Consider the following 13,961-nt stretch of genomic DNA (forward strand, 5'->3'; position numbering starts at 1 on the left):
TGTTTTCTTAGAGAAAATGCTTGTAGGCATTTAGTTTTGAAATGGAAATTTCATACCTTTTCTAGGTTAAAACATTAATATTGTCTTTATCGATGGAGAACATTTCAGCTTATCCACAACTCATTTTTCTTAGGGATTTGATTAAGGTAACTTGTCTTTATGAAGAGTGCACCAGTCACAAGCTTACTCTATTTCAAAGAGAGGCAATAAACGAAGTGCAGATTTGCAAAGCCCACTCTGGAGGGGTAAATTATTAGAATAAAAGGAGATTAACATTTTTTTATGCAAAAGTTTCCATAAACATCCTTTTTTCAGTACATTTGTTAAAGATTACTCATTACTTGCTATTCAGGGAAAGCAGCAAACTTAAGATCAGTGAAAATGATCAGTGAGATGGGCATGTATGAAATGACAGTCATCAGGAAAATATGATGTGATGGGAAAACTCAGGGTTGCACATTGTTTAGAAACATGCCCACTTGTAATGAGAAGAAGGGTTTTTAAATATTTAAGCTGAAGTCTGATGGTCTATTTTCTAGACTTGAATTGGGATGGAAGGAAATGGGCAGGGTCCTAGCTGGGCCTTGCTGGGAGCTCCCTTTCTTCTGTATTGAGGTCCCTTGATTCTCAGCACTATAAAACAAAGGAGCAACTTCCTCTCATACACTCTTCAGTTCCAATTTTTAACTTTGGGACTTTGGAGTTGAGCCAGTGTGAACATGAGGTGGCTGAGCAGGACTGAGTGATACATGTTCTCTTCAACCTTGCACCCCAGAGCTAAAAGGAGTTGAAGATTGAAGCTATATTGTAACAGCCATTACTTGCTGCCACAATAACTTTGAACCCTGCAGGGAACCCTGTCATATTCTTGGCCCAAACATGTCCAAAGCAATAATGGCCTTCTAGTTGTAAAGTAATACTCTAGTGGAAAAACAAATCTAGAGTAAATATTTTTCTTTTCTTTTCTTTCTTTCTTTTTTTTTTTTTGAGACAAGGTCTTGCTTTGTTGCCCAGGCTGGAGTAGAGTGGCATGATCACAGCTCACTGCAGCTTCAACTTCCCAAGCTCATGTGATCCTCCTGCCTCAGCCTCCCGAGTAGCTGGGACTACAGGTGTGCACCACCATGTCCAGCTAATTTTTGTATTTTTGGTAGAGACCAGGTCTTGTCATGTTGCCTAGGCTGGTCTCAAACTCCTGGGCTCAAGTGATTCTCCCACCTCGGCCTCCCAAAGTGCTGGGATTACAGATGTGAGCCACTTTGCCCAGCCTGAGTAAACTATTTTTCAATGCTGAAAAAATAGCCCTGTAAACTTTTTCTATTTTGCCTTACAAGGATTTACATAGGTATTGTATTTGGTCAAATCATATATTATGAACCACATGCTGTGATGCTTCACCTTTCTAGCCTCTCATTGAAATAGGGTGTTCCACATACATTGATTTTTTTCCTGATGCATGCCTAATAAGTAATTATAATATTAACAATTTATTGATCACCCTGCATGTGAAACACTGTAATAAACAAATTCTTAGGTTTTATTTGAATAATTTTTGATAAAAAGTTTCTCTAAAGTGCGTCATACATACTCATTCCTTCATGAACAGATTGTATGAGGCAGAAAAGTGTGAGTGTCCTGGAATCATACTAAAGTGTGTCAGATGGTTTTCTCTGTATTAGAGGCTCTTACGCTAAGCTGTCTCTGTTGCCTCTTCACTTACTGTCAACTATCCCTTCTCAGCAGTTCACTTTTGAACAGACCAACATTCATCTGATTGTCTGGGAAACTCGACAACTAAGCTTGTTACCTTATGTGCAGGTCTGAACTGGTAAATTCCGAATTTGACCTTCATGCTCCTATCCCAGAGAAAAAGTATGTGGGCTTGAGATAGCAAATTTTTGCAATTCCCAGAAACATTTCTTATGCCTCGCGTCTCTTGGCTGTGTCCTGGAAGGCTGAGATTTTGCCAAATTAACTGAGGAGTTAATAGGTATAAATGACTGCCGAACTCTTTGTTGCATCCTTTATACCGTAATAATAATGGGTGTAACCAAGGCTTGGTTTATAATGGTTTGTAACCAAAGCTTGTCATCATTTAGTAGAATGTTTCCTTGCAGAATGAGAGATGAGAATGCCAGTGTGCTGATCTAACCCACCAGACAAAACATTTGTTTTCAATTTAGAAATTCTAATGTTTCTTATTAAAAAAAAAAAGGACAAGAGTATTTTGAATAATCCCCAAACCATAAATATAGAAGAGCAAATATCAGTCTTCCTTCTCCCAAAGTCCTGAACCAAACCTGATAAGAAGGGGCAGAAGAACAAAGAGAGACAAGGTAACTTCTGACTTTGAAAAATAACAGAGAAAGTCAATGTCAGGGAGCTGCTCAGATGCTGTTATTTACTAGGTTAAGAGGAGGCCAAGGGCGAAGGTATTTTTTCTTTCCATGTGAACTTTCCGCTCACCTTCATGTGGTGTTTTTCTGTTTTTAAAAGTTCATGCTTCGCTCTCTTTCTGTTTGTGTCCTCTCCCTTCCTTGTATGTTTCTCATGACATACAGCAGGGCTTATAATTTGCTATTTATAATTTTGGCTATTTCATTTAAAGAGTGCCTATTGCTAATATCTCAGGGTTTGGAAAAGATTTGTTTTTTGCACTAGCTGATTAATGAACATAACTAAATTGAGATAATAATTTAAACAAAATAACCCAGTGGTTTTGCCCTCAGTGGATTTTAGACTATAACGTTTTGTAGTTATTCTTACATGCTTATTTTACAAAGCTGGAAGGGAAACTTCCTTTATCACTGAGGATAAAACTTTGCCAACATATTAAAAAATTTGCTAAATGCAAAATTTATGTAGGCATTTGTCTTGCTGTTTCAGGATAATATTGCTTCATAGCACCCTATTTTTATTCCCATTCCCTAATTCTCCCAGATTACTTGGTTGTTGATGAATACAATAACTTTCACCCCTGGACTAGGGCTCTGCCTACTAGGCCATATTGTGCCTTTAAGTTTCTTAAAGTCTGTCTGGAGCAGAAAATTTTGTAGACGCAGAAACAAGGGTGCCTTATCAATATCTAAGAGAGATTTTAGTGTCACTTCACTTGTGAGTGAGCCACCCACTGACAGCCTTTCTTCTACTGACAGGACAACAATCTCCTGAGAATGACAACACCATCAAGGACCTGCTCCCAGAAGACGCTGGGATCGACCACCAGACAGTTCACCAGCTGATTACAGTGCTCATGAAGTTCATGGCCAAGGATGAAAGCAGCGCTGAGTCAGACATCAGCAGTGCAAAGGCCTTCAACACGGTCAAGCGACACCTGTACGTCTTACTCGGCTATGACCAGCAGGAAGGTTGCTTCATGATTGCACCTCAAAAAATGCGCCTGTCAACTTGCTTTAATGCATTCATTGCAGGAATTGCCCAAGTAAGTGTAATAACAGCTTTCAGAAGTCACACCTTTATACTTTTAGTAGAAGCAAGGCATTACATACCATGTAGCCAACGTTGGTTCAGCATAAAGGTTTGTACAAATTGCTTGGTATTATGCAGGAGTATGTGGAGGGGAATGTGAACATTAGTAAGAATTGGGAGCCTGGCTGAGGAATAGTGAGACAGAAAATGACAGAGAGAGAGACTGCATGCGTGTGTGTGTGTGTGTGTGTGTGAGAGAGAGAGAGAGAAAGATGCTAACCTTGTAGCATATGAAGAGTGTCTGTACCTTGATATGATAGTTACATAATCATTTTACTATATTTGGTTTCTTTTTTTTTTTTTGAGATGGAGTCTCGCTCTGTTGCCCAGGCTGGAGTGCAGTGGCGTGATCTCAGCTCGCTGCAAGTCCGCTTCCCGGGTTCACGCCATTCTCCTGCCTCAGCCTCCCAAGTAGCTGGGACTACAGGCGCCCGCCACCATGCCCAGCTAATTTTTTATATTTTTAGTAGAGATGGGGTTTCATCGTGTTAGCCAGGATGGTCTTGATCTCCTGACCTCGTGATCCGCCCATCTTGGCCTCCCAAAGTGCTGGGATTACAGGCGTGAGCCACTGCGCCCGGCCAGTATATTTGGTTTCTAGATCACTGTGCCTATTTTTTTTCAATTACTAACCAAAAATACTTAAATTTGGTTTGTTAATTCTATGTTAGAAATTATAATTTTAGTTTATATTAATTTCAATTGTATCTTAATGAAGAAATCTTTCCAGTTAGAAGGAGGTTCTAATATTCACATGTTCCAATACTTTGTTTGGTGTAAAACAGCTAAATTTGGAGCTACGTAAAGCCTTGTTTTCTCTGTGTGTTTCAGCTACTTTCCATTTGGTATTACACACTCAAATTTACATTTATCTATTAAAATTGCCATTTTATCAAACATTTTCATGCACAGTAAAAAAAAAAAAAAAAGAATTGGTAGCCTGGTATCATCAAGGGAGCATGGGAGATTTTTTTCCTTTTGTAAAATATACATACAATTTGCCATTTTAACAGTTGTAAGTGTACAGTTCAGTGGCATTGAGTAATTTTATGTTATTGTGTAACCATCACAAGCATCCATCCTCAGAACTTTTTTATCATCCTAAACTGAAACTCTGTACCCATTAAACAATAAAAGAGTATAGGCTTTTTTGTTTGTGTGGTTTTATTTTTATTTATTTATTTATTTATTTATTTATTTATTTAGAGACGGAGTCTCGCTGTGTGGCCAGGCTGGAGTGCAGTGGCGCAGTCTCGGCTCACTGCAAGCTCCGCCTCCTGGGTTCAGGCCATTCTCCTGCTTCAGCCTCCAGAATAGCTGGGATCACAGGCACCCGCCACCACGCTTAGCTAATTTTTTTGTATTTTTAGTAGAGACGAGGTTTCACCATGTTGGTCAGGCTGGTCTTGAGCTCCTGGCCTCAAGTGATCCACCCACCTTGGCCTCCCAAAGTGCTAGAATTACAGGCATGAGCCACGGCGCCCGGCCACTGTTTGTGTGTGTTTAAAAAAAAAAAAAAAAAATCCTCTTCCTTTTTTGGCTTCAGGTGGAGAGAGTTGAATTAATCATACAACTTAACTTTATGCCACACCATCATCACTGGCTTTTCCATGTGCATCTGCTACTTCTAACTGCTGTATTGCATGCCATGGTGGACAGACACCATACTTTACTCATCCATTCCCCTAGTTATGGACTCATATTGCTCCCAATGCCTCACTACCCCAAACAGTTCAGTAATAAGCATCTTTGTATACACACCGTATCAGCCAATGTGAGAATTCCTTAGGGAGATGGATCCAGAAGAACTGCTGGGTGGTAGGGTAAATGTATGCCTAATTTGGTCAGTGCTACAAATCTCACTCTCCAGAACAGCTGCACCAATCTGCAAAGATAGAGGACTTGGGGCTACAGAGATGTGGATATGAATTTCAGCTCCACCTCTGTTATTAGTTGCTAGGGCTTAGGCACTCTCTGCTTGCTTGCTTATTGGTACACAGATTTCCTTTTTTGATAGATTAGAGAAAACATATTGCAAAGCACCTTGATCAATGCCTGTCTCATGGTAGGAACTCAATAGATGATTGCTGTTATTGTCAATTAGCTCAAATAGATTGTAACATAATGAACAAAGATGAGCAACGTGAGAGCAATGTGCGTGTAGTCGTCCTGTGCTGATGCTGATAACTGGATGGATCACCGCTTTTTCTCAGCTGTCACTGTTTCAGATACCAAAGCCTCCCTCCCTCTTCTCCCCACCCTCTAAGTCCACATTATGCATGTCTACTTTAGAAATATAAGCTAAAATCAAGGCTGGGCATGGTGGCTCATGCTTGTAATCCCAGCACTTTGGTAGGCCGAGGTGGGAGGATCACGAGGTCAGGAGTTCGAAACCTGCCTGGCCAATATGGTGAAACCCTGTCTCTACTAAAAATACAAAAATTAGCTGGGTGTGGTGCCATGTGCCTGTAGTCCCAGCTACATGGGAGACTGAGGCAGGTGAATCGCTGGAACCTGGGAGGTAGAGTTGCAGTGAGCCAAGATTGCACCACTAAACTCCAGCCTGGGTGACAGAGTGAGACTCCATCTCAAAAAAAAAAAAAAAAAAAAAAAAAGAAAAGAAGAAAAGAAGAAAAGAAAAAAAGAAATATAAGCTAAAAATTAAAAATTAAATTTTTATATGGGGTTTGTATAACTCCAGAAAACCCGTGTCAAAAATAACTCCCTAACATTTTGGCATATATTGCTCCCTCCAAATTTATACACATACATAATTTCATACTCACATATGTATGTCTGTGCATTTTTACAATAATAGGTTCATATTATACATACTGATATATATGCCACCTTTTTAAAATTTTTTTATTTCAATGGGTTTTTGGCGAACAGGTGGTGTTTGCTTACATGGTTAAGTTCTTTAGTGGTGATTTCTGAGATTTTGGTGCAACCTTTTTAAACCTAAAATTTATTATGAAGTTTATATCATGTAAATAAATTTGTATCATATTCTGTATAGTGGCTACATAGTTTTCTGTAGTTATACAAACAGTATTTTGTTTATCTAATCCCATATTATTGAATATGGAGGTTGTTTTCAGTTTGGGGTGACTATAAACAAAGCCATGCTGAATTTCTTTATACATACATTTTGGAACACTTGTCTGATTATGTCTTTGGGATATATTTAATGGCTGTATTAGACGGTATATGCTTTTTCTTTCTTTCTTTTTTCCTTTTTTTTTTTTTTTTTTTGAGACAGGGTCTCACTCTGGTAGCCCAGGCTGGAGTGCAGTGGTGTGATCATGGCTCACTGCAGCCTCGACCTCCCAGGCTCAGAGGATCCTCCCAGCTCAGCCTCCCGAGTAGCTAGGACTATAGGTGTGTGCCACCACACCGAATTAACTTATTGTATTTTTGGTAGAGACAGGGTTTCGCCGTGTTGCCTGAGCATACTCTTGGGCTCAAGCAATCTATCTGCCTCAGCCTCCTAAAGTGCTGGGATTGCAGGCATGAGCCACTGCACCTGGCATGTGCTTTTTCTTATTCCTGAATATATATTACTAAATTGTTCTCCTGAAAGATTGTATCAAGTTTGGTTGGTATAATACTTGGTTCAGATTGAACCAAGTATTGCCGGTCGTCTAGGAATTCCCATTTCTGCAGGTGGTTACCAATACTAGGTTTCTTCATTGTCTAGTTTAACTCTGGTTAATAGTTGAATGGACAAAATTTTATTTTCAATAGGTACTGAAACAAATAATTAATTAGATTAAAACTATTTTCATTTACAAGTTTCAAAAATTTTTTGTGAGGTTGGACTTTTCCTCCTTCTTGCGTACTAGCCATTACTTTTAATATTCTGTGGGATGCCTGTTAAATATTTTGCCTGTTAAAAATTTTAACCACTGGGATGGCTCAAATTTTTCCTTTTGACCTCTGAGTGTTCTTTGTAGTTTTCCATCAGTTATTAATATTTTTTCTATTTCAGGTTATGGACTATAACATTAACTTGGGAAAACACCTTCTCCCCTTAGTGGTTCAGGTGCTCAAATACTGCTCTTGTCCTCAACTCCGGCATTATTTCCAACAGCCGCCTCGTTGCTCCCTCTGGTCCCTAAAGCCTCACATCCGGCAGATGTGGTTGAAGGCCTTGCTTGTCATCCTTTACAAGGTGAGCTGGGTGGTCACTGCTGTTTTGGATGCAATGGTTCTCTTAGAGAGCATATAGCATTAGGAGAACACCTGAGTCTTTAGTTGAAAATTTTGTAGAAGTTTGACCTTCAGAAGGAAGATCAGGATATGCAATTACTGTTAAGAACCAAAGAGCTATTGAAATGAAAATAGAAATGGGAGGCCCTGTTAATATATGCTCTAAAAATGTTTAAAACAAAGAATGATAAATGGTAGGCTACTGATCAAGAACCTCTGTTTATACTCAGTCTTGTATTTTGTCTAAGTATTATTATTTCAGAAAACAAAAGATATCTGAAATTGTATTCATCCACTAAAGGTTTATGCCAGATAATTTTCTTGAAAAGAAATGTAACTATGAACTGGCATGCATTGCTGTCAGTGGTTTGGTGAAGGAGGAAATGAATATGGTCCCTTGTAAAAATAAGGCCATGGGGGAGGGCGTGGTGGCTCACTGCTGTAATCCCAGCACTTATGGGAGGCCGAGGTGGGTAGGTTGCCTGACTCCGGGAGTTCGAGCCCAGCCTGAGCAACATGGTGAAATCCCATCTCTACAAAAAATTAGCCAAGCATGGTTGCACGTGCCTGGTCCCACCTACTTGGGAGGCTGAGGTGGGAGGATCACCTGAGCCCGGTAGGCTGCTATGATCACGCCACAGCACTCCAACCTGGGTGACAGAGTGAGACCCTGTCTCTAACTAAACAAATAAATAAGGCCATGAGCAGAATTTGTTTCTACTTCTCTCTCTCTCTCATATATATATTTATCCCCAAGAGATACTGCAAAAAGTATCCAGCAAGATCAGGTGGAAAAGCTTACCCTCTAAAATAACCATTTATCTTTTTCTCTCTCGTTTCATTGGGCAGTATCCATACCGAGACTGTGATATCAGCAAGATCCTGCTGCATCTGATTCACATAACAGTCAATACACTCAATGCGCAGTATCATAGCTGCAAGCCCCATGCCACGGCAGGACCTTTGTACAGTGACAACAGTAACATAAGCAGATACAGCGAAAAAGAAAAAGGTACATATCTAAATTCTATCCCAAACCTAGCTTCAATACATAATAGATTTCTGGACAATGTTTTCTTAGGAGATAGAAGAGTGTTCCCAGATATCATTCTGGAGTAAAAAAAAAAATCACTTTCTTAATTTTCCAACTTTCCATGAATGTTGCTGCTTTAACTTTGAAATTGAGCATTCAAGAGGAATAAATGATGTGCTTCCAAAGCCTGTATCATAAGAAATAATATTTTGTAAGATATTTTCTGCTGTTTGAATCAGGAGCCTTTGTAAGCCTTTTCTTACGTGTTAGAAGCATCTCGTTTTTGGGCTATAAAATAAGTCTTGGTTGGCACACAGTGGAGCCATTCTTTGTAGGTCTCTAGTTTGCCCTGGTCTTTGCGCTCATAGAGTTTCAATGGAGTCTAAGTTTGCTGAAGTGCTTTTTCCTAGACTTTTAATTTAATACAAAGTGATTCAAGGCAAGGGAAATGAAACATTTTTGCTGCATAGGTGTAAGCTATCTCCATTATCAACACTTTTTCTATTGCTACCTTTTTCTAAAAGGGGCAGTAGAATGCAACTTTAGCTAGGGTAAAATTGCAGCCTGTTTTCAGGTGAGACACGAAGAACCAGGGTGTATATTTTTAGTTTTTAGTGTAAGTCACGGCTGACTAGATTTTAAATTGACATCATTTAATCTAGTCTTTGGAAAAAACCAAGTGTCCACTGACCCTTTATGAGGTTAGTAGAGTCTGTTTTAGTAGGACTGCTCTGGAGATACCTCAAAAGTATAAATTGTACCAGTGTTCCTGTTTGTTATTGCTGAAAGTTCCAAAAATCTAGTTTGGCTACAGACGGAACTCGAGAACTAGGTTCTTTAAGTTCTGGTACCATTCAGATCCCTCCTAAAGAATATCTTGTCTACCAGTTTAGGGTTTAGTCTCTGGCAAATTGGGGAGATCTGTTAAGCTATGGATGTTTTCAGCGTGGGCTTAGTGTTTGGGCCAAACCCTGATGAACCTTTCTGGATGGGAGGCGCCATCTTGTGGTCTTTCAGTCTTGAGTGTTCAATGCATTTTGAAAATTGTTTCAAAGTTATGTAATGCAAGTCACGTAACTATTGGTTGGAAAAACTGCATTTTTCAAAGGATATTTTTCCAAAAAGGAAATAGAGAAGTAAAACAGATTATTGTGTTGCGTTTCCCCAGAAACATGGGAATTTGATAGGCATTCCCATCTTTGTGGAAGTTCACTGGGTTTAAAAACAAATTCATTTTGATTAACATTTATTTTTATTTAATTAAAAAGTTTAGTATGGTTATTTCATCTAAAATTTACTACTTCAAGTTTCATTTACTTGTAGAATTTTGTGCATTAGAACAGGGTCAGTCCTTAAAACTTGATGTATATACTGCCCTTATGCTAAAAAAAACCTTGAATAATCATAATCGCACCTGAGCCTCATTTGTCATATAGGTAGATGTAAATACAGGCCAAACATTATGAGTTCAGTGATATTCAACTTGAATAGTAGGTAAACTCATTATGATGCTATTAAATGCATTTTAGTAGCCTTTTCTGTTGCCACTTTGTACGTGGCTTTGGCCTTTCAAAAGGACGAAAGAAGAAAATTGGTTAAGTAAACTTTATGGGTTGCAACATATGAACTCTTTCCTCATTAACATATTTTGGGGTTTATCTTGGATTTAAAAATGGCCACATGGGTGTAGAAGGGAGGACGTAGAAACAAGTTCAACAGGCACTCAAAGTGACCGGTTTGTTTATGTAGGATTAGGGATCATAAGTGTCAAAGATTCTTTCTGGGATTCATGAGATCCGTAATAGTTACACGTGGTAAGCGCCTCAGAGAAGAGTCTTACTTTAATAGGAGGAAATGTTATTTTCTGTTTTCTTTTTCCTTTGTTTACTCTTTCAGTCCATAATCATTCGTGGAGCTTTTGAGATGACAAGTGGCTTTTCTAAGCTTTTTCTGTGTGTTGCGTGTCTCATTATCAAATGTAGAGTACAGTATTTTGCATTCACACCGTATAAGGTGCATGTACTGTTAGGCTGTGTCTATGCCAGTTACCAAATCCCATAAAGGCAGATTTTTTTTTCTTTTTTGGAAAGCCCAAGATCCACTCATTTTGTTTAATTTCCTTTCGCCAAATCAGCCTGAAAATCCACGCAAAGCAGACAAGTCCAAGCAGTGTCACAGGCTCCTGGAAAAAGTAGCTGACATCTATGTGTCATCTGGTGTTAAGCACACTGGAAAAGTTTCCCAAAAAGGCGCTATTGGACTCTCAAGAAGCCTCTCCTTAAAAATGCTGCCAATTGTCATGTGAAAAGTGATGGGCAATCTTGTAACAGCTTGCTCTGTCCAATAGATGGAGAATTTGATGCCTGGATGAAATACCAACCCATGGCTAGACTTGGGCTGGTGCAGAAACTAACCCAGACCTTGTTCCATAATGCTTTCATTGAAATGCTTGTGTAGACACAGCCTAAGAGAGAATAACCTCTTAAGTGTAATTTTGACTTTCTCTCCCCAATTAGAAGAAGATAGTGTTTTTGATGAATCTGATATTCATGATACACCTACTGGACCCTGCAATAAAGAGTCTCAAACTTTTTTTGCAAGATTGAAAAGAATAGGCGGCAGCAAAATGGTGAAATATCAGCCGGTTGAGATGAATGTTCAGAGAAGTATGAATTTTTTCTCTTAGTAATTTTATGCAGAAATGTTGTACTCTACCGTTTGTTTGGGGTGAAATCTTAATTTTATTATGTTACTACACATTTTAATACCGTTGATTTATATATATGTATGCACAAACAGTATATATATATACACATTTATATATATACGTGAATCGACAGATACATCATTAATGTCATGATCGTCTTTGAGAGCCATTGCTTGATTTGATTTGTTGCAAAATGTTTGCTTCTCTTCCACACGATTTGAATACAGTTTCCTAGATCTGCCTCAGCCAAAAAATGATCCCCTCTCCTATGCACAAATGAACAGAGCTGAGGAATTATCCCGAAGCCCGATTTTGGAAATCAGATCTTAAACTGCCATTTTGGTTTCTTTCATTCGTAAATTTTCCAGTTTTTGAAATTAGAACGAACCTTACAAAAACTTGGCCAGAAAGTTCGTTTTCCCTCCTGGTGGAGCTGGGATTGTGATGATGATTTATGCCAATTGTATGCCCAAGGATGAGGGGAAAAAATGGTGAAATCTCCAAGTAAAATAGTACTAGCTTTTTCTGTTTTGATCAGGTGAAATAGAACTGGCTGAATATAGAGAGACGGGTGCATTACAAGACAGCCTTCTCCACTGTGTGAGAGAAGAAAGCATTCCGAAAAAAAAGCTACGCTCTTTCAAACAAAAATCTCTTGATATAGGGAATGCAGACTCGCTTTTGTTTACATTAGACGAACATCGTAGGAAGTCGTGCATAGATCGGTGTGACATAGAGAAGCCTCCGACCCAAGCTGCGTATATCGCACAAAGACCAAACGACCCTGGACGTTCTAGACAGAACTCTGCTACGAGGCCTGACAATAGTGAAATCCCCGAGAACCCAGCTATGGAAGGGTTTCCAGATGCTCGAAGGCCTGTCATACCAGAGGTTAGGTTAAACTGTATGGAGACTTTCGAGGTGAAAGTTGACTCGCCGGTAAAGCCTGCTCCTAAAGAGGATTTAGATCTGATAGATCTATCCTCAGATTCAACCTCGGGGCCTGAAAAACACTCTATACTCTCAACCTCCGACAGCGACTCTCTTGTATTTGAGCCTCTTCCCCCTCTCAGAATAGTCGAGAGTGACGAAGAAGAGGAGACGATGAACCAAGGCGATGACGGCCCCTCCGGTAAAAATGCTGCCTCTTCTCCCTCCGTCCCCAGCCATCCCTCCGTCCTCAGCCTGAGCACAGCTCCGCTTGTACAAGTAAGTGTGGAGGATTGTTCCAAAGACTTTTCTTCTAAGGACTCAGGAAATAATCAGTCAGCAGGGAACACTGACTCTGCCCTCATCACTCTGGAAGACCCTATGGACGCCGAAGGATCCTCAAAGCCAGAGGAGCTGCCAGAGTTCTCCTGCGGTAGCCCACTGACGCTGAAGCAAAAACGAGACCTCCTTCAGAAGTCGTTTGCTCTCCCCGAGATGTCGCTGGATGATCACCCTGACCCGGGCACTGAGGGGGAGAAGCCTGGGGAGCTGATGCCAAGTTCAGGGGCAAAAACCGTCCTCCTCAAAGTTCCCGAAGATGCAGAGAACCCCACAGAAAGTGAGAAGCCTGATACCAGTGCAGAATCTGATACAGAACAGAATCCTGAAAGGAAGGTGGAAGAGGATGGAGCTGAGGAATCCGAATTTAAGATTCAGATTGTTCCCAGGCAGAGGAAGCAGAGGAAGATTGCTGTCAGTGCTATCCAGAGAGAGTACCTCGACATCTCCTTCAACATTCTGGACAAACTGGGAGAACAGAAAGATCCAGGTAAGCTCGCCTCTCTTCTTTCTCTCAGCCTTAACTTTAAGTTTGTGCATCTTGTTTGATAGGGTACCGGCACTGAATATGCATCAGACTCAAACTCTTATAATGTCAGGGTGTGACATTATAATGGCTTCTCAATCACTCTGAATCCTTCCTGTTTAATGGACAATGTTGGATGCAGATGTGGTTCTACTGGCTCCACAAATGTTTCTGTTTTTGTTGTTTTAAACTCTGCAGTCAATTCTTGACCACCCTTGGCAATGAGATGCATTGGTTAATTCGTATCAGGATAATCCAGGTATCATCTCAGCCTTCCTCAAACAGCAAAAGTCATTAACTTGAACTCTTTGCTTTCTTTTTTTCTCTGCCCTGTACTAGTGAGCTATGATATAGTCCAAAGAAGGAACCAATGTGGAGGCTAAAATAAAGCAGAGTGCCCTAGAATGATTAAGAATTGACTGTATAATCACTTACAGGGCATACAGCTGATTGTAGATACTAACCAAATATCAGAAACCAAAAAATACCAGTTACAGCCTAGACCCTAACCCACGGTCATCACTTGGTGATGAAGTTATCACAGCCCATGGGTTTCCTGCCTCAGGGCCATTTCTTGTGTTTGCTTGGAGGCATTGTTTCTAAGAAAGATAACTTGAAAGAAATGGCAAGCCCATGATCCACCTCATCCTATAACAGTCTTCTGTAATGTTACCGCAACACTGATCAAAACCCATCTTCATTTCTTAGTTCAGATCTTTTAAAAA

General features: G+C 39.9%; 1 protein-coding gene across 33 annotated transcripts in view; it reads left to right on the forward strand.

Annotated features, from left to right (window-relative positions):
- UNC79 (unc-79 subunit of NALCN channel complex) overlaps positions 1–13,961 on the forward strand; it is a 374,695-nt gene that overhangs the window by 276,460 nt on the left and 84,274 nt on the right. For 22 of the 33 annotated variants that reach the window (XM_011537027.3, XM_011537026.3, NM_001395159.1 and 19 more), the window contains 5 exons: positions 3,156–3,442; positions 7,481–7,663; positions 8,551–8,713; positions 11,251–11,400; positions 11,980–13,200. In XM_011537027.3, the coding sequence (XP_011535329.1) occupies positions 3,156–3,442; positions 7,481–7,663; positions 8,551–8,713; positions 11,251–11,400; positions 11,980–13,200 (2,004 nt within the window). The remainder of the gene's footprint in view (positions 1–3,155; positions 3,443–7,480; positions 7,664–8,550; positions 8,714–11,250; positions 11,401–11,979; positions 13,201–13,961) is intronic. The other 11 variants (NM_020818.5, XM_017021508.2, XM_017021514.2 and 8 more) reach the window with 3 other exon arrangements.

Source organism: Homo sapiens, chromosome 14 (assembly GCF_000001405.40).
Source record: "Homo sapiens chromosome 14, GRCh38.p14 Primary Assembly".
NCBI classification, from domain to species: Eukaryota; Metazoa; Chordata; class Mammalia; order Primates; family Hominidae; genus Homo; species Homo sapiens.